This window comes from Homo sapiens, chromosome 19, assembly GCF_000001405.40.
Source record: "Homo sapiens chromosome 19, GRCh38.p14 Primary Assembly".
NCBI classification, from domain to species: Eukaryota; Metazoa; Chordata; class Mammalia; order Primates; family Hominidae; genus Homo; species Homo sapiens.
This window is the reverse complement of record NC_000019.10, coordinates 3,371,148-3,393,685: the sequence shown is the minus strand read 5'-3', so window position 1 is coordinate 3,393,685 and position 22,538 is coordinate 3,371,148. Positions and strand designations below refer to the sequence as shown.

The 22,538-nt window shown below is 55.6% G+C and overlaps 1 protein-coding gene across 5 annotated transcripts in view, besides 2 other annotated features; it reads right to left on the bottom strand.

Moving 5' to 3' along the window:
• Positions 1 to 22,538, bottom strand: part of NFIC (nuclear factor I C) — a 109,588-nt gene that overhangs the window by 75,532 nt on the left and 11,518 nt on the right. For all 5 annotated transcript variants that reach the window (NM_205843.3, NM_001245005.2, NM_001245002.2 and 2 more), the window contains exon 2: positions 11,443 to 11,974. In NM_205843.3, the coding sequence (NP_995315.1) occupies positions 11,443 to 11,974 (532 nt within the window). The remainder of the gene's footprint in view (positions 1 to 11,442; positions 11,975 to 22,538) is intronic.
• Positions 3,419 to 3,996: an enhancer, noted in NCBI's record as "H3K27ac-H3K4me1 hESC enhancer chr19:3389688-3390265 (GRCh37/hg19 assembly coordinates)". NCBI's record gives its function as "activates a minimal SCP1, AML or CMV promoter by ChIP-STARR-seq in primed H9 embryonic stem cells {active_cell/tissue: H9 hESC(primed)}" and the evidence as "EXISTENCE:reporter gene assay evidence [ECO:0000049][PMID:30033119]".
• Positions 17,779 to 18,194: an enhancer, noted in NCBI's record as "ENSG00000141905_19:3326490-3326905 (NCBI36/hg18 genome assembly) insert fragment". NCBI's record gives its function as "drives selective reporter gene expression in differentiated C2C12 myotubes {active_cell/tissue: C2C12}" and the evidence as "EXISTENCE:reporter gene assay evidence [ECO:0000049][PMID:22144875]".

Below are 22,538 nucleotides of genomic sequence, written 5' to 3'. Positions count from 1 at the left end.
GCGCCACCACGCCCGGCTCATTTTTGTATTTTTAGTAGAGACCGGGTTTCATCATGTTGGTCAGGCTGGTCTTGAAATCCTGACCTCAAGTGATCTGCCCTCCTCGGTCTCCCAAAGTGCTGGGATTACAGGTGTGAGCCACCACGCCCAGCCAACATTCTATTTCTCCTGGACCCCTGGGTCTGGAACTCACCTAGGAGAATTCTAGAATCACCTGTGTGGTCAGGGCCCCAGTGGAAGAAATTCTAGAACTCAGGCCTTGGGGATTTCAGGACTCATGCCCTGGAGAATCTAGAAACCACTTCAGCGTTGAGATTCTCGCGTCTTCCTCCCCTCAGAACCCCCTTCTCCCTCTCCTCCGGCAGATCTTCTGCCCTGAGACCCTAGGGTCCCTCCTTGCTGGCCCTACCTCCCCTCCAGGTGGCCGTGGAACAGCCAAGCGGACCTAAAGATGGGACTTAGTCTGGGCGCGGTGGCTCACACCTGTAATCCCAGCAATTCGGGAGGCCGAGGTGGGTGGATCACGAGGTCAGCCTGGCCAACATGGTAAAACTCCATCTCTACTAAAAATACAAAAATTAGCTGGGTGTGGTGGCGGGCACCTGTAATCCCAGCTACTCGGGAGGCTGAGGCGGGAGAATTGCTTGAACTCAGGAGGCGGAGGTTGCAGCGAGCCGAGATCGCGCCACTGTACTCCAGCCTGGGCGACAGGGCAAAACTCCGTCTCCAAAAAATAAAAAATAAAAATAAAGATGGGACTTAGAAGGGACAAGAGCCAAGGCCCTTCCTGGGCAACTCGGGGCAATGCCTCGCCCCTCTCCGGGCCTCAGTTTCCCCATCTGGACGAGACATCCGGTGTCCCCAAATGCCCTCTGCTTCACCCCTCACCAACCCTGACCATCTGTGACTTCCTGCCCTCGCCCAGCTGGAGGGAGGGGGCTGGCCTGGCAGCTGGCTGGAGGGGGCCGTGGGCACAGAGCTGTCCCTAGCTGCCCTCAGCCTCCCCTTGGCTTCCCAGGCACAGGGCCAGGGTGACAACTGCAGCCCAGCCATAACGGGGGGCATCACAGGTGCAACAAGGCGCCTCCCCCTCCCACTGGCTCTGGGAGGGCCGGGCCCCACCCGGGTGAATGAGGGCTCCCTCAGGGGCTGTCTCGGGAGTCCCCACACAAATGCATTCATGCAGAAACCAGCATTCTGCTGGGTAGGGGCGTCTGCGGGGTGGTGGGAGGACCTACTCCTCAAAGAGCCTACCAGTTCCCAGCACTCATCACATGCAAAGGGTTAGTTTTTTCATAGATATTATCTCATTTAGGCCGGGTGCGGTGGCTCACGCCTGTAGTCCCAGCACTTTGGGAGGCCAAGGCAGGTAGATCACCTGAGGTCAGAAGTTCGAGACCAGCCTGGCCAACATAGTGAAACCCCCGCTCTACTAAAAATACCACAATTAGCCGGGTGTGGTGACATGAGCTTGTAATCCCAGCTATTCGGGAGGTTGAGGCAGGAGAATCACTTGAACCCGGGAGGTGGAGGTTGCAGTGAGCCACGATCACACCACTGCACTCCTGCCTGGGAGACAGAGCAAGACTCCATCTCAAAAAAAAAAAAAAAAAAAAAAGAGCTATTATCTCATTTAAATTGCTAGGCACCCCCTATGCTCAATTCACAGATGAGGCAGTAAAGCACAGAGCTGGCAAGAAACTCACCCAGGGTTACACAGCTGTCTGCAGGGCAGAGCTGGACGAGAACCACAGTGATGACGATCATGATAACGACAATAATAACTACTGTGCTGTCACCGCAGACACTATTTTTCTTATTTATTGTTCCATGATTATATATGACATATTACTAATTATTACATTGTTACATATATAACATTTTTTTTTGAAACGGAGTCTCACTCTGTTGCCCAGGCTGGAGGGCAGTGGTGCAATCTCAGCTCACCGCAACCTCCGCCTCCCGGGTTCAAGTGATTCTCCTGCCTCAGCCTCCCAAGTAGCTGGGATTACAGGCACGCGCCACCATGCCTGGCTAATTTTTGTATTTTTAGTAGAGACGGGGTTTTGCCATATTGGCCAGGCTGGTCTCAAACTCTTGACCTCAAGTGGTCTGCCTGCCTCGGCCTCCCAAAGTGCTGGGATTACAGGTGTGAGCCACCGCGCCTGGCCTACGACTGGCTAATTTTTGTATTTTTATTAGAGACAGGGTTTTACCATGTTGGCTGGGCTGGTCTCGAATTCTTGACCTCAAGTCATCTTCCCGCCTCAGCCTCCCAAAGTGCTGAGATTACAGGCGTAAGCCACCACAGCCGGCCATAGATATAATATTATTACTTGTTATTATCATTATTCACAACCAGAACTACATTTTTAGATTGTGGTAAAATCTAGATAACATAAATTTACCATTTTTTGGTGGGGGTGGTTCTGGTTTTGAGACAAGTCTTGCTCTGTCGCCCAGGCTGGAGTGCAGTGGTGTGATCATAGCTCATTGCAGCCTCAAACTCCTGGGCTCAAGCGATCCTCCTGCCTCAGCCTCCTGAGTAGATGGGAACACAAGTGCGTGCAACCACACCCAGATAATTTTTAAATTTTTTGTACAGATGAGGTCTCGCTGTGTTGCCCAGGCTGGTCTCGAACTCCTGGCCTTAAGCAATCCTCCTGCCTCTCTTTTAACCATTTCTAAGTTCAGTGGCATTAACCCAGCATTAAGCGTATTCATAGGGTTGTACAACCATTACCACCATCCTCTCCAGAACCTTCTCATCTTCCCAAACTGAAACCCCGTCCCCATGAAACATTCTCTCCCCAGCCCCCTCCCCAGCCCCTGGCACCCCCCATCCTACTTTCTGTCTCTGTGAATCTGGCGACTCTATGGACCTCCTAGGAGTGGAATCACACAGGATTTGTCCTTCTGTGTCTGGCTTATTTTACTGAGTGTGACATCCTCAAGATGCATCCACATTGTGGCCCATGTTGGGATTCCCTCCCTTTTTTAGGCAACAAATCACTTTTGAGTGCTTACTGTATACCAGGCCCTGTCCTCATGCTTTTCATGCACTAATTGGATCCTATGCAGCCCTATTAGGTGGGCAGGATTATTATCATCCCCATTTGATGGGGGAGGAAACTGAGGCCCACAGCTGCAATGTCACTTGTCAAACATCACGCAGTTCCAGAGCAGAGGGGTGTGATCCTGGGCCTCCCGGCTGCACAACATGCCCCTCATTCTCCCTGACACTCTGTTCAGCTCCCTGGCCAGTCCTGGTGGGCTCTTGTCTGCTGTGGGAGCTGGACCCCCACCTGCCCGTCCCTCTTTACCACTGACGTATGCCCCGCGGACTCCTGCCGTTGCTATAAATACACCATCAGCTGGCGTCTGCGACTCACGCCCGGCAGCCACCTTCTCTGCACAGACAGACGGCTGGCACACCTGGCTGCCCAGCCCTGGGGGATAACAGGCTGCTGCTGCCAGGAACCCCTCACCCCTCTGCTGTCCAGACACCTGGAAAGGGTGACTTGGTCCAGCTTCTGGTGACAGCCACTCCTGGGTCACGGTGCCCCCACTGGCTCACTGGGTTGGGAAAAGGAGGTGTAGGGTTTCACGGCGGCACTGGGACCTCCCTCCTTCCCTCCTGGGGTTGGGGAGAGAATCCAGGGAGGAAATGAGCATTCTTTTTGTTTGTTTGTTTTGTTTTTGGGACAGAGTTTCACTCTTGTTGCCCAGGCTGGAGCGCAATGGCGCAATCTCGGTTCACCGCAACCTCCTTCTCCCGGGCTCAAGCAATTCTCCTGCCTTAGCCTCCTGACTAGCTGGGATTACAGGCATGCACCACCACGCCTGGCTAATTTTTGGTATTTTTAGTAGAGATGGGGTTTCTCCATGTTGGTCAGGCTGGTCTCGAACTCCCGACCTCAGGTGATCCACCCGCCTGGGCCTCCCAGAGTGCTGGGATTACAGGTGTGAGCCACTGCGCCCGGCCGGAAGTGAGCATTTATTGAGTGCCTCCTGTATGCTTCTCAGAGACCACTGACTCCAATCTTTAATGCAATGGGCACAGCTCTGATTCTCCCCATTCTACAGAGGCAAAAACTAAGGCTCAAAGAGAAGAATGCGCCCCACACTGCCTGGAGCACACAGGAACACAAATTCTGTCCACCATACAAATAAACAGGCACCGTCACCCGAGCTCATGGCCTGTCTCCCCAGTGCAGCACCCACAACCGGGATGAAGATCAATAAAGGCAGAAGAGGACGGGAGGCTTTCAGTGAAGACCCGCCTTGCTCCTGTCTGTGGCCCACAAGGCCGCCCCTTCCCACCCTCCACTCCCCTCAACCCCAGACCAGAGAGGGCAGGACTTTTCTCAAAGCCACACAGCAAGCCAGGGCAGCACTGTGGCTGACCCAGGTCCCTCACTCCCAGGTTGAGACCCTTTCTCCTGCCATCAAGCTCAGGGTGAGCTTTATGGACACCCTGGCCCCAGGCTTGGTCCCCTTCCATAGGGTTCACCTCATTCATTCATTCATTCATTCATTTACTCCCTGAGTGTGCACGGCCTGCACTGTATGATCTGTATGACTCAGAGGGTGTGGCTTCCACTAGATAACCTCAAAGGGCACTTTTAGTTTGTTTTTGAAAAGAGGTTTAAGGGGTTTCAATACCACCTCCCTTTTATTGGAGACAGGGTCTCACTCTGTCGCCCAGGCTGGAGTGCAGTGGCATGAGCTCAGCTCGCTGCAACCTCCGCCTCCTAGGTTCAAGCGACTCTCCTGCCTCAGCCTCCTGTGTAGCTGGGATTACATGTGTGAGCCACCACACCTGGCCTCAATCACCCCTTAAAAAAAACGGTTTTTAGAGATAAGGTCTTGCCTTGTCACCCAGGCTGGAGTGCAGTGGTGGGATCACAGCTCACTGCAACCTCCAACTCCTGGGCTCAAGCCATCCTCCTGCCTCAGCCTCCCGAGTAGCTGGGACTACAGGTACACACCACCACACCTGGCTCATTTTTAAAAATTTTGTTGGGGGGGGGCATGGTCGTGCTATGTTGCCCAGGCTGGTCTCGAACTCCTGGCCTCAAGTGATCCTCCTGCCTCAGCCTCCCAAAGTGTTGGGATTACAGGCAGGAGCCACCTCGCCTGGCCTCAATCCCTTTTTCAAAGGGGTTCTGGATTCTCATTCCGGCTCTGCCCCTGAGGAGCTTTGTGACCTTGGACAAGTGACTCTTGTCCAAACCTCTGGGTCTCTGCTTCCTCCACTAGAACACGAGAGAAGGCCAAAGTCCCTTCCTGCTTGGATGGGGGAGAGAATTAAACCAGTTAGGGTGAGCGGTGGCCTCGGAGCCTGGCACACAGAGGGCACGCCATGTGTGTTTGCCGCCATCATTATCGCTGTTGGGGTCCTTGCTCCCCAATTCCATCCAGGAAGCGCTGGGGAACTCCCCCTCCCATGTTTCTCCTGCCACCCTCTCCAGGGCACCCGGGGCAGCCTCTCTGGCGTGCTATGAGCTTCCCGGGCCGGGCTCTGCCCACCGCGCCATTCCCGGCGCTGGACTGCAGGAGCTTGGCACGACGCAAGGCGGGAACAGGAGGCTGGCCCATGGCGGCGTCAGCAGATGGGCACCATCTGGGCTGGCGGCTCGGGGCGGGCTGGCAGCTGCTGGGACGGGCGGGCCTGGCAGCCCCTCCCCCGCCCAGCCCTGGCACGGTGCCCGCCCGCGCCTCAGATTTCTTGGGCTGCCAGAGGGGGCGGGGAGGCCTGGCTGGGTTTAGGCCCTGGGCGGGCAGACAGCTTCCCTCTCTGGGCCCTGGTTCCTGCAGGCTCCTTCCCCAGCACGTGGCAGGTCGGAGAGCACCCGGGTCACCCTCTCCCGCCCCACCCCCGGCTGGTCACCCTCACTGGAAGGCCACAGGACGGCCCTCGCCACTCACTACCCCCTGAACATCCCAGCCAGCTCCATGTGCTGCTCCTGGGCTCCAGGCCTTCGCACTGGCTATAACCCCCTCACTGCTCCCTCCACCCAGCCTCTCCAGACTCCCTCACCCCCTTCAAGCCTCACCTCAAAGACGCCTCCTCAGAGAAGCCCTCCCCATCCAGAGTGGCCCCCAGCCCCCCTCCATGTCCCTCCCTGCTTTATTTTCCTGCAGTTCCCTGACACCCTCTTCTTATTAATTTTAATTTTTATTTTTTGAGACAGAGTCTCACTCTGTCGCTCAGGCTGGAGTGCAGTGTCGCGATCTTGGCTCACTGCAACCTCCCGGGTTCCAGCGATTCTCCTGCCTCAGCCTCCCGAGTAGCTGGTACTACAGACGCCCGCCACCACGCCCGGCTAATTTTTGTATTTTTAGTAGAGATGGGGTTTCACCATGTTGGCCAGGCTGGCCTCAAACTCCTGACCTCAGGTGATCCGCCTGCCTCGGCCTCCCGAAGTGCTGGGATTGCAGGTATGAGCCACTGTGCCCGGCCTCCTCTCTCACTTGTGACGTTGCAAGTGGTGGCTCCTTTCAGCCCCATGGCAGGTGCCCCTCCACCGCCATCCACCCTGCACCCCTCCAAGAGGCCAGCCAAGGCCCTATGCCTGATGCCCGTCCCTCCCTCTCCCTCTATCCCAGGGCCTCAGCTGCCCAGCAGGGCTGATGAAAGCCAGACACTGCACTCTGGCTGGGCCAGGACGCTCCACAGCCAAGGGGACTCTCGGTTCGGAAAAGGAAGCCGGTGGCCAGTCTTCCTGCTGTCAGGGTGACAACCACTGGGATCAGCGCTGAGGCCTGGAGGCCAGCCACAGCCTGGGGACCCTACATAAGACCTCAGCCTGTGGGGCCCTCACACAACCCTGCCAGAAGGTGACCACACCGTGCCAGCAGACTGCCCCCTCACGCACCACAACTTCCGCCCATCCCCTTCTGACAATAATGGAGGATGAGGCAGGTGTCAAGGACAGGGCAGAGGCAGAAGCTGCTTGTGGGTCCAAATCCCACCTGGCCCAGTCTCGGCTGTGTGACCACGGCAGGTCAAATCCCTCCTCTGAGCCTCTGTTTCCTCCTCTGTAAAATGCGTACAACAGGCCGGGCGCGGTGGCTCACGCCTGTCATCCCAGCACTTTGGGAGGCCGAGGAGGGCGGATCACTTGAGGCCATGAGTTCCAGACCACCCTGGCCAACATGGTGAAAGCCCGTCTCTACTAAAAATACAAAAATTGGCCAGGTGTGGTGGCGCTCGCCTGTAATCTCAGCTACTCGGGAGGCTGAGGCATGAGAATCGCTTGAACCCAGGAAGTAGAGGTTGCAGTAAGCCAAGATCGCGCCACTGCACTCCAGCCTGGGTGACAGAGTGAGACCCTATCTCAAAAAAAAAAAAAAAAAAAAAAAAAAGGCATACAGCAATGATCCTTGCCTCACAGGGCAGCTGTGAGAATGGGAAAGAATTTTCAGCCAGGCAGGTGGCTAATTTTTTGTATATTTGGTAGAGATGGGGTTTTGCCATTTTGCCCAGGCTGGTCTCGAATGCCTGAGCTCAGGAGAGTCACCTGCCTTGGCCTCCCAAAGTGCTGGGATTACAGGCATGAGCCACCACACCCAGCCGGAGTTGGGGTTTTCCATATGGGAAAGACATTCTATGTCCAGGGAATGCATAAGGAAAGGTCTGGCAGTGGGAGATTATAATCAGAATGAGGAGGATGGGCCGGGCGCAGGGGGTCACGCCTGTAATCCTGGCACTTTGGGAGGCCAAGGCGGGAGGATCACTTGAGCCCAGGAGTTCGAGAGTAGCCTGGGCAACATAGTGATACCCCATCTCTGCAAAAAACAAAAAACAAGGCCAGTTGCAGTGGCTCACGCCTGTAATCCCAGCACTTTGGGAGGCCGAGGCGGGTGGATCACCTGAAGTTAGGAGCTGGAGACCAGCCTGGCCAACATGCAAAACCCCGTCCGTATTAAAAATACAAAAATTAGCCGGGTGTGGTGGTGGGCATGTGTAGTCCCAGCTACTCGGGAGACTGAGGCAGGAGAATTGCTTGAACCCGGGAGGCAGAGGTTGCAGTGAGCCAAGATTGCGTCATTGCACTCCAGCCTGGGAGACAGAGCAAGAGTCTGTCTCAAAAAAAAAAAAAAAAACAACAACAACCAAAAAAACCCCCAAAAAACCCAAACCAATAATAACAAACAAACAAACCAATCCCGAAGAGGATAATGTTAGTAACGATAACCACCAAGGGCCCTAGCCCCCTGCCTAGTGCCTGGTCTTCACGATGCCTTGTGGGTGGTTTACTGAGCTCTCACCCTGGGCACTTGACATTTCCCACAAGGCAACCAGTTTTGAGCCCCCCAGTTTATAGACAAGGAAATGAAGCACAGAGAGGGTGAGTGACTGGCCCCACATCACCCAGCCAGTGGGCAGCTGAGCTGGGGTTGGAGTCCAGGCCCAGCTCTTACCCCCATGAGGAGCTGGAGCACCCGCAGTGGGCAGGTGGGAGGGTTGGGGGGGGGTGTGCCCTGCTGGGGCCAATTGGGGGAGGGTGTGGCCTGCTGGGGCCAATTGAAGCAGGGATTCCCTTGGGGATGAAGGGGGCAGGCTGGGGGCAAGGGAGGGTGCAGCCTTCACTCAGAGAGGCCAACCTGACCTGGGGCACAGGCCTGCCTGCTGAGCAGAGGCGGGAGGGGCAGGGTGGGGGTGGGGAGGCGCCCAGAGGTTGTGCTGACTGCAGCAGAAAAGCTCGCTTCAAAATTGTATCAGCTCAGCACGGAGGAGGTGGGGGCGGGGCCCCGGGCGAGGAAGATGTGTGGTGGCAGAGAGGTCTGGCCCTGTGTGACGATGAGAACCTCCGTCCCCACGGTGGCCCCTGCTCCCAACAGGCAGTCACCCGGCCCACCTCTCTGCCCCCACCGTCCCCAGTGCCCCCTCACAGCCAACCCCAGCAGGTTTGTTGCTCATCAGTGGGGGTGGGGGAGGAGAAAGATGCTAAGGTCAAGGTCAAAGAATCAAGATCAAGACTGGGTAACTGCCGGGCGCGGTGGCTCACGCCTGTAATCCCCGCACTTGGGGAGGCTGAGGCCAGTGGATCGTTTGAGTTCAGGAGTTCAAGACCAGCCTGGCCAACATGGTGAAACCCCGTCTCTACTAAAAATACAAAAATTAGCCAGGCGTGGTGGCAGTCACCTGTAAGCCCAGCTACTGGGGAGGCAAAGGCAGGAGAATCGCTTGAACCTGGGAGGTGGAGATTGCAGTGAGCCGAGATTGCGTCACTGGACTCCAGCCCGGGGAACAGGGCGAAACTCCATCTCCAAAAAAAGAAAGAAAAAAAAAAAAGACTGGGTAACTGGTGTGGTGCAGTGGCTCTTGCCTGCTGTACTTCTAACACTTTGGGAGGCCAAGGTGGGAGGATGGCTTGAGCCCAGGAGTTTGAGGCCAACCTGGGCAACATAGCAAGACCCTGTCTCTACAAAAAAATATATATATATATAAAATATTAGCTGGGTGTGGTGGTGTGCGCCTATAGTCCCAGCTACTTGGGAGGGTGAGGCAGGAGGATTGCTTGAGCCTGGGAGGTCGAGGCTACAGTGAGCCGAGATTGCACCACTGCACTCCAGCGTGGGTGACAGAGCGAGACCCTGTCTCCAGGAAAAAAAAAAAAAAAAAAACACTGGGTAACTCTGCCCTGCTGTCTTTCCACACACCCTAGAGCCTGGGAGCCCGTGACCCTGTCTCACCCTTGCACCAGCTCTAGAAGGTGGCATGGCTGTTACTCCCATTGCACCAAGGAGGAAACTGAGGCACAGAAAAGGGATGTGTCCATACAGCTGGGGAAAAGAAGGGCTGTGTCTGGAGCATGGGCAGTCTGGCCCCAGGGTCCTCCTGTTCGGGCAAATGCCCCTCCCTCTCAGGCTGTGCAACTGCCTGTTTCTATAGAGTGCTGCCTGGGCTGGGGCTGGGCTGGTGACCTGTGTGGGTCTGCGTCTGGCGTACACCCATCCCACATGCTCTGGCAGCCCCTGGGTGTGTGGGGGTTCACGCGTGCTCCAGACACGGCCTGGATGGGCATGGCAGGGGTGTGCTGTGCACCCACTCAGGTCTTGGGATGCAGCTGACACCTCGCACGTGGCTACACGCATGATCTTCTGGAACCTCCCATAGCCCCATCCAGCTACAGACTGATCATCTCCACCATTTGGCAGGCAAGAGAAACTGAAGTCCAAGAGGGCCACGCAGCCAAGAAGCTGCAGGACCAACCCTGCTCTTAGCACCGGGACCAGAGGCACAGGCATCAGGCCTCTCATCTCCACGCTCCTGCCAGGACCCCTGGGGCATCTCCTTGTTCACTGTGGCCTGGCCATCCTGCAGAGCTGAGCTCAGCTGCACCTCCTCCTCTGGGAAGCCGCCTTGGATTTCCTCAACCCCACAGAGCTAGCTGGTCTCAACATCAGGCATTTGACCACCGGCAAACACCCCTCTGGCAGGGCCAGGCTCATCAGGCCTCTGCTGGCATGGTCTGAGAGTCAATCAACCAACAAGCATTCACAGAAAGCGGTGCCAGGACTCTCTTGGCTCTCCTCGGAGGGCTGGGATGGCCTGTCCCTCTCCTCTCCTCACCCCTGCTCCCAGCAAGGCCGTCCGTTGTGCCCAAGACCATCTAGGACATTCTCATCCCCCTGAGACCTCAAGGGCCTTCCTGCCTCCTCCCTCAGACGTGAGGGTGAGATCCTGCCTCTACCATTGGAGCGCCACAGCCCACCTGCCTCCTCTGTCAAAAAAACCTCCTTGTACCATCTCTCACTTGAGACCTCTGCTAGGCCTGCCTCCTCCATCTGACCTCCACATCCCATCAGCAGCCACCCTGGGCCCTGCATGCACTGGCCTCCTCCCTCAGACGCTCCTTGCACCATATCACTTGCATTAGACGCTCTCCTAGGCCTGCCTCCCCCCTCAGACCACCACATCACATCTACACATGCTGGCTTCTTCCCTCAGACCCTCCTTGCCCCGTGTCACCCGGCGTCAGACGCTCTCCCAGGCCCGCCTCCCCGCTTGGACCACCACATCACATCTACACGCACCAGCCTCCTCCCTCAGACCCTCCTTGCACCATGTCACCCCCATCAGATGCTCTCCCAGGCCTGCTGCCCTGCCTGGACCACCACATCACATCTATATGCACTGGCCTCCTCTCTCAGACTCTCCTTGTGCCATATCACCTACTTTACATATTCTCCTAGACTCGCCTCCCCTCTCAGACCACCACATCACATCTATACCCACCAGCCTCCTCCCTCAGATGCTCCGTGCCCCGTGTCGCCCCCATTGGGCACTCTCCAAGGCCCACTTCCCCTCTCAGACCACCACATCATACCCACACGCACTGGCCTCCTCCCTCAGGCCCTCCTGGCCCCGTGTCACCACCATCAGACACCCTCCCCGCTGGCCGCTCCGCTCAGGCCACCACACCTCACCTCGCTCACGCACGAAGTAGGCCAGGTAGAGGTCCAGCTCCTTGACGGCCACGCCAATGTGGTGCGGCTGCACGCACAGGACCGGGTGACCGCACTGCGCAGCCTTGACCAGGCGCTCGCCGTCGGTGCTCTCCAGCGGGATGCCCTTGAACAGGATGACCATGACCAGGTCCAGCCGCCACACCTTGTCCGCCTGCCGGAGACAGTCGATGCGCCGCATCTTGCCCTTCTGGTCGGGGTTGGAGAGCACGCAGCCCGGCGCCTTCTTGCCGGTGATGCTCAGCACGAAGTCCTCGCGGCACTCGGGCCGGATGTCCTTGCGCAGCTTGGCCAGCAGCCGCGACGCCCACTTCTGCTTGACCTCGGGCTTCTCGCCCAGCAGCTCGTCCTTGACCGCACGCTCCTCGTCCTTCGACATCCGCTTCTCGTGCTTCTTGAAGTACTTGCGCTTCCGCGCCTGCAGGTTGAACCAGGTGTAGGCGAAGGCGCGGACGTGAGGCAGCAGGGCCTCGATGAACGGGTGGAACTCATCCTGCAGGCCGGAGAGGCGAGAGGTCAGGAGCGCCAGGGACGCAGAGGGCGGACCCACTGCCCGGCCCCGAAGGCTGAGGTCGGAGGGGCCCTGAACAGACCCGCAGAGTGGGAGGGGCTGGGCAGAGGTGGGCAGGGGGTCGCTGCGGACCCGTGCACGCCGCCGGAGGCACGCAAAAGGCCCGGGGGACCCAGGAGAAGTTTATCAGGGACCTGCAAGAACCCATCGCCCAGATGAGCAAACAGACTTGGACTATGTGAGAGGCACAAATCAAGGCGGAAGTTTGTGGAGGATCATTTTTTTTTTTTTTTTTTTTGAGACGGAGTCTTGCTCTTAACGCTAAGGCTGGAGTGCAGTGGCGCAATCTCGGCCCACTGCAACCTCCACCTCCCGGGTTCAAGCGATTCTCCTGCCTCAGCCTCCCGAGTAGCTAGGATTACAGATGCCCACCACCACGCCCAGCTAATTTTTGTATTTTTAGGAAAGATGGGGTTTCACCATGTTGGCCAGGATGGTCTCGATCTCCTGACCTCTGATCCGCCCGCCTCGGCTCTCGGCCTCCCCAAGTGCTGGGATGACAGGTGTGAGCCACCATGCCCAGCCGTGGAGGACCTATGTTGAACCCCAGCATGCAGATGGAGCAAGCTAAGGGGGCCAGGTGGAGGCTCATGGACAACCCATTGTACAGACGGGTAAAACTGAGGTTGGGAGAACAAAGATGTCAGGGACCTATTCTCTGCCTATTGCAGCTAGGGTTGGGCTGGGTGTAATGGCTCACACTTGTAATCCCAGCGCTTCGGGAGGCCGAGGAGGGAGGACTGCTTGAGCCCAGAAGTTTGAGACCAGTCTGAGCCATATGGTAAAACCCCATCGCTACAAAACAAATGAACAAACAAAATCAAAAAAACAAAAATTAGCCAGGTATGGTGGTTTGCAACTGTAGTCCCAGCTAGTTGGGAGGCTGGGGTGGGAGGATCATTTGAGCCCAGGAGTTTAATGCTGCAGTGAGCTGTGATGGTGCCACTGCACTCCAGCCTGGGCGACAGAGCAAGACTGTCACAAAAAAAAAAAAAAAAAAAAAAAGCCTGGGCGCAGTGGCTCACACCTGTAATCCCAGCACTTTGGGAGACCGAAGCAGGTGGATCACCTGAGGTTAGGAGCTTGAGACCAGCCCGGCCAACATGGCAAAACCCCGTCCCTACTAAAAATACAAAAAAATGTAGCCAGGCATATTGGAGCACACCTGTAATCCCAGCTACTCAGGAGGCTGAGACAGGAGAATCGCTTGAACCTGGGAGGCAGAGGTTGCAGTGAGCTCAGATTGTGCCACTGCACTCCAGCCTGGGAGCCTGGGTGCCAAGAGTGAAACACTGTCTCAAAAAAAAAAAAAAAAAAAAAAAAAGAACAAGGCTGGGCACGGTGGCTCACGCTTGTAATCCCAGCACTTTGGGAGGCCAAGGCGGGCAGATCACGAGGTCAGGAGATTGAGACCATCCTGGCTAACACAGTGAAACCCCGTCTCTACTGAAAAAAAAACAAAAAAATTAGCCGGGCGTGGTGTCGGGCGCCTGTAGTCCCAGCTACTCAGGAGGCTGAGGCAGGAGATTGGCATGAACCCGGGAGGCGGAGCTTGCAGTGAGCCGAGATTGCGCCACTGCACTCCAGCCTGGGCGACAGAGCAAGACTCCATCTCAAAAAACAAAACAAAACAAAAAAAAACTAGGGTCGGCGGCCAAGCATGGTGGCTCACACCTGTAATCCCAGCACTTTGGGAGGCCACAGTGGGTGGACTGCTTGAGCCCAGGAGTTCAAGACCAGCCTGGATGACATAGCGAGGCCCCGTTTCTACAAAATCAAAACTTAGCTAGGTGATGCATACCTGCAGTCCCAACTACTTGGGAGGCTGAGGTGGGAAGATCAATTGAGCCCAGGAGGTCAAGGCTGCAGTGAGCCAAGGTTGCGCCATTGATCTCCAGCCCGGGTGACAACGTAGTGAGACCCCTGACTCCTGACTCAAAAAAAAAAAAAAAAAAAAAAAGAAAGAAATAAAAAAAAATGAAAAATGAGGCTGGGCGCAGTGGCTCACGCCTGTAATCCCAGCACTTTGGGAGGCTGAGGCAGGTGGATCGCTTGAGGTCAAGAGCTTGACACCAGCCTGGCCAACATAGTGAAACCCCATCTTTACTAAAAATACAAAAATTAGCTGGGCATGGTGGCACACGCCTGTAGTCCCGGCTACTCAGGAGGCTGAGGCAGGAGAACCCAGGAGGCAGAGGTTGCAGTGAGCCGAGAGCTCGCCACTACATTCCAGCCTGGGCGACAGAGTGAGACTCCGTCTCAAAAAAAAAAAACCCGGCTGGGCGCGGTGGTTCATGCCTGTAATCCTAGCACTTTGGGAGACCGAGGCGGGCAGATCAAGAAGTCAGGAGTTCAAGACCAGCCTGGCTAACATGGTGAAACTCTGTCTCTACTAAAAATACAAAAATTAGCCAGGCGTGGTGGCGCATGACTGTAATCCCAGCTACTTGGGAGGCTGAGGCAGGAGAATTGCTTGAACCTGGGAGGTGGAGGTTGCAGTGAGCCAAGGTCACTCCACTGTACTCCAGCCTGGGTGACAGGGCGAGACTCCATCTTGGGAAAACAAAAAACAAAAAAACAAAAAATGACTACGAAAGCTTGTTCCTACAGAGCATATGTACAGACAGGCCTGGCTGAGATCCACAGGCAGACACTAGGCCCGCCTGGAGGTTGAGGGCTGCTGGAAGGGTGGGGGGATTTCTGCATCAAAAGATAAGAGATTCAAGTGCACCAGGATTAATCAGAGGGAGGAGAAATCCCGGGTGGAGTCCTCTCCCTCCTTTCCCCTTTCCATGAACCCACTGTGCTGATACAGAAACAGACCAGAGAAGCAGACGCTCAGCCACAAAGGTTCAGAACTGGGGAGAGGGGCCACCCCGTTCCCTGCAGACCCACCCTGGAGATGGAAAATCCGAGGGCTGGGAAGGCGCTGAGACTGGGCCAGAGCTGGGACTTCAACCTACTCCCAAATCATGACAAATTGGTGTCTGAGGGCAGTCACAACACCCATGCTACAGATGAGGAAACTGAGGCCTTGAGGGGGAACCCGGCCATGGGGGACAGAGGTGGACTGGAACCTGCACTCATCTGACTTCCCCACGAAAATAACAGCAGCCCCTTGAAGAGAAATGTGGGGCAGTGGGAGGCCCCCAGCTCCCTGTCTGGGTGTGGGGAGGCCCCTCCCATTCTTCCCATTTTCCAGCAAGGGAAACTGAGTCTGCATAGCATTTGGGATCTCAGCTGGGGACTATGGCTAACGCCTGTAATCCCAGAACTTTGGGAGGCTGAGGTGGGTGGATCACTTGAGCCCAGTTCAATCCCAGCCTGGGCAACATGGCGAAACCCCATCTCCTTTTTTTTTTTTTTTTTTTTGAGACAGAGTTTCACTCTTGTCACCCAGGCTGGAGTGCAGTGGCACAATCTCGGCTCACTGCAACCTCCGCCTCCCAGGTTCAAGAGATTCTCCTGCCTCAGCCTCCCGAGTAGCTGGGATTACAGGCACACACTATTACAGCCACACACTATCATGCCCAGCTAATTTTTGTATTTTTAGTAGAGATGGGGTTTCACCATGTTGGCCAGGCTGGTCTTGAACTCCTGACCTCAGGTGGTCCACCTGCCTCTGCCTCCCAAAGTGCTGGGATTACAGGTGTGAGCCACTGTGGCCGGCAGGCAAAACCCTATCTTTACGAAAATTACAAAAATTAGCTGGGCATAATTTTTGTGGTGCGCGTCTGTAGTCCCAGCTACTTGGGAGGCCGAGGTGGAGAGATCACTTGAGCCCAAGTGTTTGAGAGCAGCCTGACCAACATGTCGAAACCCCGTCTCTACTAAAAATTACAAAAATAATTAGTTGGGCATAGTTGCTGTGGCGCACACCTGTAGTCCTAGCTACTTAGGAGGCTGAGGTGGGAGGATCACTTGAGCCTCAGAGGTCGAGGCTGCAGTGAGCTGTGATTGTGCCACTGCACTCCAGCCTGGGGGATAGAGTAAGACCCTGTCTCTAAAAAAATAAAAAATAAAATAAAACAAATTAAAAACATCTGGGACCTAGTTTCTCAGCCTCAAGGTGGAATAAATACAAGGAACAAGAAGAGAAAGAGAAGCAAAACTGCCTTTCCATCTCCCTGCCTTGACCAGGCTGGGCTGGGCATTTCGGACAGGGGTGATCCCTTCCTAGCACAGAAAGCTGTTTTCCTCCCCCCAGCTCTCAAAGGACTACATTGTTATTAATGATGCGATGATTGTTATCATTACAACTTATATTGCTATTGGATTTTTTTTTTTTTTTTTTTTTTTTGAGACAGAGTCTCGCTCTGTCACCCAGGCTAGAGTGCAGTGATGCGATCTCAGCTCACTGCAAACTCTACCTCCCGGGTTCACGCCATTCTCCTGCCTCAGCCTCCTGAATAGCTGGGACTACAGGCACCCGCCACCATGCCCAACTAATTTTTTGTATTTTTTTTTTTAGTAGAGACGGGGGTTCACTGTGTTAGCCAGGATGGTCTCAATGTCCTGACCTCGTGATCCGCCTGCCTCGGCCTCCCAAAGTGCTGGGGCTACTGTGATTTTTATTACTTTTTTTTTTAAGAGATGGGGGTCTCAGCCTGGTGTGGTGGCTCACGCCTGTAATCCCAGCACTTTGGGAGGCCGAGGTGGGTGGATCATCTGAGGTCAGGAGTTTGAGATCAGCCTGGCCAACATGGCGAAACCCCATCTCTACTAAAAACACAAAAAATTAGCCAGGTATGGTGACAGGCGCCTGTAATCCCAGCTACTCGGGAGGCTAAGGCAGGAGAATCACTTGAACCCGGGAGGCAGAGGTTGCAGTGAGCCAAGGTCGCGCCATTGCACTCCAGCCTGGGCAACAAGAGCGAGACTCCGTCTCAAAATAAATAAATAAATAAATAAAAAAGACAGGCGTCTCACTGGAGTGCAGTGGCACGATCTTAGGTCACTTGGGCCCTGAACTCCCAGACTCAAGCGATTCTCCCACGTCAGCTTCCTGAGTAGCTGGGACTACAGGTGCAAACCACCATGTCTGGCTAATTTTTATTTTTGCAGAGATGGAGTCTCACTCACTGTGTTGCCTTGGCCGGTCTCAAACTCCTGGGCTCAAGTGATCCTCCCACCTCGGCCTCCTAAGGCACTGGGATATTTTCTATTTTCTTTCCTTTTTTTTTTTTTTTTTTTTTTTTTTTTTTTGAGACAGTGTCTCACACTGTTGCCCAGGCTGGAGGGCGGTGGCATGATCTCAGCTCACTGCAACCTCCGCCTCCTGGGTTCAGGCGATTCTCATGTCTCAGCCTCCCGAGTAGCTGGGATTCCAGGTGCGCCACCATGCCCAGCTAATTTTTGTACTTTTAGTAGAGATGGGGGTCTTGCTATGTTGCCCAGGCTGGTCTCGAATTCCTGGGCTCAAGCGATCCTCCCGCCTCGGCCCCTCTAAGATGCTGGGGTATTTTCATTACTATGGACGCGATTGCTGCGATGATCATTTTGATTGCAGACAATCTTCCAGGAAGCAGGGAACAGCCTGAGGCCCCGCTCCGTGTTCTGTGGCATGGAAACTAAGGCTCAGAGAGGGGCGGAGACCTGGCTGAGGTCCCACAGGGTCTCAGGGCCGGTGTGAGGATAAGAATCAGGGCCCTGACCCCCTGGAAGGCCACGGGTCCCTTTCTCAGAACAGCCTGTTCTCTGTAAGATTGGGGTCTCAGGAAGGTAGGGAGACGTTGACCCTGGACTCCCACTGTGTGTGCCAGCGGATGTGGCTGGACTCGGTCCCATTTCCAGGCCGGGATGGGCAGAGCAGCTGCTGCCAGATCACCCTCCCTGCTCTGTGCTCCACGTCCCCTTGGGCCACCTCCGGCCGTGGGGTGCTTCGGGGGGAGGGGCAGGACATCAGATTTCACCTATTACTGAGGCTCTGAAAATAGCCTCCCCACCCAGTGAGACCAGAGTCAGCTTGTACCAGCGAAGCTCCCCCACCCCAATGTCCCCCAAAGCGTGAGTCACCGTAACAGCTGCGGCGGGGACCGGACCTCAGGGCCCTTTTCCGCTGCCCCCGCTTCCCCAGCCAACCTGCTAAGGCAAAGGGGAGGTGGAGGGGGCCCGGCCCAGGCCCTGTCCAATCTCGTCCCTGCCCCTGACTGGATGAGACCCAGAGATGGGGAGTGGTTTGTCCAGGGTCACACAGCCGGTCAGCAGAGCTGGGACCAGAGCCCAGATGGTCTGGCCAGGGAAGCCGGGCAGTGGGGGTGGTGGGGGGCACAGTGGGACGCGGCAGAGAGGACCCATAGAGGCGCAGGACCTGCCTGTGGAGGAGATGCCAGGCGGGCAGGAGGCCCGGACAATGTTGTCCAGCTGGGGCCGTGGCTGCCACCCAAGCTCTGGCGCTTACTGGGGCTGTGATAAGAGGCTGCTGGAAGGGACAGGGGAGGCATCCATGATGGGGGCAGGGATCACTGTCCCCCCAACTCCTTCTCTCCCCAACCCCCCTCTCTCTCTGAATTCCCCCTCCCCACTTCCCCTCTCCTCTTAATTCCTTTTCTCATCTGGCCCCTCGTAGATCTGAGTTCCCTTCCTCCTCCCTAACTGTCCCTCCCTTCTCTATGTTCCTCCCCTTCTCTGTGCCCTTTCCGGGGACAGGTGCCAGGGAGGCGGGCAGGGGTGGGGGCCCACGTCAGTGGTGACCCCGGCTAGTTACAGAGGCAGGAAGACAAACAGCTTGTAACTGGGTCATGGACCTGCTGCCCCATCCTCCCTTGTCCTCCCCAGGGGATCAGACCACGTGAGAGGCAGGGCCTGGTTGGCCGGTTGTCACTCTGTTTCTCCCACATGACCTGCAATAACCAGGGCCTCTTCCCCAGGGACCTCCTACTGCCCTCAGAGGCCCAACCGGCAAAAGAGATAACCAAGACAAGCTAGATGCTGAAAATCCTCCCAAACTCCTACACATCCCTCAACGCCCTATCTCTAGTGTCCCCTCCTTCAAGCAGCCTTTCCTCCTCAACCCAGGGTTTCCCAGATCTAGCCAGGACCATCCAGTTCTATCACCTCTCCCTCTCCAATCCTGAGGCCCAGAGTTGAGGCACCCACTGTCGGAGAAGGTGGCTGGGTGACAGTAAGGTCTATTTTCACCATCTGAATGGCTGGGGAACAGATCACCTCAGATAAGCCTCAGTCTCTCATTCTGTACAATGGGCAGAAAGGAATATTGCAGCCTGCTGGAGACAGGGGAGCTTGCCTGGTGACCTTGTTCCTTGCAAGGTGATGGGGAGAAGGGGAACAAGGCTAGGTCTTTCCTGGAAACCCCAGCTTAGCCCACTGGGACTTCCTGGCCAAAGAGAGCAGCAGCAGCTGGGAGAGACATCTGGACCCAAGACCTTGCTGAACGACCACGCCATGCACTGGGTGATGCCCTCACTCACCTCCCTGTGCTCCTCCCACCCTGAAAGTCCAGGCCAGCAAACCAGGACAAGAAACTCCAATTTCCAAACCAAAAGTTTCCAGGTAAAAGTGACTCAACAATCCTTCATGAGAATCTAGCTCATTACCTACTTAGCACTTATCCCAAATTCCTACGCATCCTTCAAAGCCTTAGTTCTAATGCCTTCTTCTCCGGGTCGGATGACTTGTCCATGGTCCCACGGACAACCCCAGGCCCATCCGGCACCAGCGTCAGGCTCTAACCTTGGGCCGCTCCTTCCCCTGGCTCAGAAAATCACAGCCTGTGGACATGTGAACGGCTCCCAGAGAGGGAAGATTCATTCTGTTGCTCAGCAAACATTTAGTGAGTGCCTGCTGCATGCCGGTCCCAGGTAGGGTGCCGAGGACTTGGCAGGGACCTGGGCTCGGCCCTCACCTGGATCCAGATCTGGGGCAGGGACGGATGGTTAAAATCAGCAAAATATGTAATAAAACGTCAAGTTGGGCAAAGTGCTCTGAAGAAATTTAAGAGTTTGAGGGACCAGAGAATCTCTGGGGTGGGGGGTGTTTTTTAGCTTGGGGGGGGGGTCCAGGAAGGTCTCTTGCAGGAGGAGACACCTGAACAAAGTCTTGAGAGATGGCACTCCAGGCCAGGAGCTTTCTGATGGAGAAATGGGTCATGCAAAGGCCCTGGGGCAGGACCGCACCTGGCGTGTTAGAGGAACAGCGAGGAGGCCCATGTGGCTGGAGCAGAATGAGCAAGGGGGAAAGAGAGAGGAGGGGAGGGTTGAGGAGGGGACAAGGACAGGCTGGGCAGGGCCTTGTGGGCCACAGTGAGGAATTTGGGTAAACTGAGTCCACAGGGTTCAAACTCTCTGCCAAGGCAGTGAGTCAGCAAAATGAACCCTGGGTCCCCTACTTCCCTCTGTGCCTTGATGTTCTGGGAGGACAATGAGGGCTGAGCCAGAGGGGCCAGGAGGTGGAGGAGAGAGGCAGGGAGCGAGGCTGTGCCTCTTACAGGCTGAGCGTTTGCTGAGCTATCACGTCTACTACGAAATAGGGGCCGGGCGCGGTGGCTCACACCTGTAATCCCAGCACTTTGGGAGGCCGAGGCGGGCGGATCACCTGAGGTCAGGAGTTCAAGACCAGCCTGGCCAACATGGTGAAACCCCATCTCTACTAAAAACACCAAAATTAGCCAGGTGCGGTGACACACACCTGCAATCCCATCTACTTGGGAAGCTGAGGCGGGAAAATCGCTTGAACCCGGGAGGCGGAGGTTGCAGTGAGCCCAGATTGTGCTACTGCACTCTAGTCTGGGCGACAGAGCGAGACTCTGTTTCAAAAAAAAAAAAAGTCTACTATGAAAGTGGGGACTATCATTGCACCCACTACCTCGAGGAGGAGACTGAGGCATGAAATCTTCCACCAAAGTCACACAGTCAGGGAGGAACTGAGCTGGGACTGGTCCCTGGGCCTCCTGGCACCCCCCCACCCCACTCCTGGGCCCCTTGAGCAAACAGTCTCGGGCCAGAGCGTCCAGTGACACCTGGTCTGCACCGTGCACACTCTCCGAGTCCCACGTGGTTCCCTTCCCCTTGTTTGATCCCCGAGGTCGGTCGCACACCACATCCTCAAGGAGTCCTGGTCACCTCGTTTCCTGCCCGTCCCCGACCCGGCCTAGACTGTCGGTCCCACAAGGGCACAGCTTTGATCTGTTAGCATCTCCAGCATCCAGACCACTGAAGCAATGCTCCCATCTTCTGCCTCTGGGACCCCCCTTATCCATGCACCCCCATGTGTAAGGAAGGCTGGTACCCACACAGGGCTGGTCAAACTCAGGGAGACCCTGGACAGGGCTGGGCAGGGAGAAAAGACTAACAGAGGCCGGGCACGGTGGCTCATGCCTGTAATCCCAGCACTTTGGGAGGCCGAGGCAGGTGGATCACCTGAGGTCAGGAGTTTGAGACCAGCCTGGCCAACATGGTGAAACCCCGTCTCTACTAAAAATACAAAAGTTAGCCAGGCGTGGTGGCACGTGCCTGTAATTCCAGCTACTTGGGAGGCTGAGGTAGGAGAATCGCGTGAACCCAGGAGGCGGAGGTTGCAGTGAGCTGAGATCACGCCACTGCACTCCAGCCTGGGCGACAGTGCAAGACTCCGAGAGAGAGAGAGAGAGAGAGAGAGAGAGAGAGAGAGAGAGAGAGGGAGAGAGAGGGAGAGAGAGAGAAAGAGAAGGAAAGAAGGAAGGAGGGAGGGAGGGAGGGAAGGAAGGAAGGAAGGAAGGAAGGAAGGAAGGAAGGAAGGAAGGAAGGAAGGAAGGAGAGAGAAAGAAAAAAGAAAGAAAAGAAAAACTAACAGAAATGCCACAGTAGAGAGGGGTCTGAGCCTGGGCCTTTCCAGGTCACCACTGTCCTTGTCACCCAGCCCAAAGCTGGGCTTACGCTGCGCAAATACACACAGAGGGAAGGGAGGGAAACTGGAAAATGCCTCTGGGGTGTTCAATGCAATTACTAGTTTAGCAACAACCATAAGCACAGCAGCACTTATTTGGCACCTACTGTATACCAGGTGTCGGACTAAGGTACATCGATGTCTCTGAGGAAAGTGCCATTATGTTTTTTATTTTATGTTGGCGGAGAAATGGAGGCTCGGGAAGACCAAAGTCCCGCCTCTCAACCAAAAACATTCATTCATTCATTCATTCATTCATTCATTCGTGCAACAGGTATTTATTGGGCACCTACTGAGTACCAAGCCCTGCACTGTGGACCTCAGAAATGTCCTGCCTCCCCGGAGGCTGCAGTGAGCCAAGATCGCACCGCTGCACTCCAGCCTGGGCGACAGAGCGAGACTCTACCTCAAAAAAAAAAAAAAAAAAAAATTGTGCTGCCTCCCTGAATCTGCAGCAGCCCTGAGGAAGTGGGGGTTTCTGCTGACTTCATTTCAGGGCAAGAAACGGTCCGGGGGTGGGGGCAGGTCACCCACCAGAGTCAGGAAAGAGGAGAATTAGTTTAGCAACAATCACAAGCACAGCAACACTTATTTGGCACCACTC